The 932-nt window shown below is 43.3% G+C and overlaps 1 annotated feature.

The window, feature by feature from the left end:
• Positions 217 to 511: a silencer, noted in NCBI's record as "tiled region #9474; HepG2 Repressive non-DNase unmatched - State 23:Low, and K562 Repressive non-DNase unmatched - State 23:Low". NCBI's record gives its function as "represses a minimal TATA promoter and a strong SV40 promoter by Sharpr-MPRA in HepG2 and K562 cells {active_cell/tissue: HepG2 | K562}" and the evidence as "EXISTENCE:reporter gene assay evidence [ECO:0000049][PMID:27701403]".

Here is a 932-nt window from a genome sequence, read left to right as displayed (position 1 = left end):
GCGTGAACCCGGGAAGCGGAGCTTGCAGTGAGCCGAGATTGCGCCACTGCAGTCCGCAGTCCCGCCTGGGCGACAGAGCGAGACTCAGTCTCAAAAAAAAAAAAAAAAAAAAAAAAAAAAAAAAAAAAAAATTCTTATTATGTGGCTCTTTTCTGAAATCCTTTAGCATCCCAGTCTTTAATTCTCTTCCGCATAGCTCTATCCAGCCTTCCCATTAGTTCCTACCACCTTTTCTCAAAAATCCCAGGTACTCCTTTTTTCTTCTTCCCAAGGAGTTTACAGGAACTTCTTGTTTTCATTGAAGCCCCAGCCCTCACTCACAGTTGTAGGGCCCTCCTTGATTGGCCCTAGTACAGAGTTCTTGCCTGTAGGGACAGGAATGCACACAGAACCCTTGCTAAACGATGCCCTCCTTCTGTGCTGCACCCTTTCAGGGCCTCAGCCCTCCAGAAGTCTGCAGCACCACCTTGAAAAGGAGCTGCTGGTAGGGAATGCAAAAGAACAGAAAATTTTTGAAAATGGAGGTAAACATTTTTAAAGATCTTTAAAGCATAACCTGCATTTAATGAGAAAGGGTCAGGGGCACATTCATGTTAATGGCCCAGATAAATCACCTTCTTCAAGAGGAGTTCATGTGTGCATTTGCGAGAGCCGCTAACATTTTCCAATCTTTTAGTGGAGTGCAAAAACACAAAACATAACAAAACAAAAAAAACATCCCGCAGGTAAAGAGTAGAGATCATGGGCTTTCACCTCTCTAGGGGCTTGTGTAAGCCAAGATAAGTCTAGGGTTTCCATTTTAGCCAGGCGTTCCTGTATTTCATATTTACATGCATTTGTGGGCTTCCTACTTCCAAAAAAGGCTCACAACAAAACATGCATTTAAATAGAGCTATTTTCTCTATAGCCAGCTGTCAGCTTAACTTGAGGCT

This window comes from Homo sapiens, chromosome 12 (assembly GCF_000001405.40).
Source record: "Homo sapiens chromosome 12, GRCh38.p14 Primary Assembly".
In the NCBI taxonomy this organism is placed as follows: Eukaryota; Metazoa; Chordata; class Mammalia; order Primates; family Hominidae; genus Homo; species Homo sapiens.
Note: the sequence above shows the minus strand (reverse complement) of the source record. Positions and strands in the feature narration are given on the sequence as shown.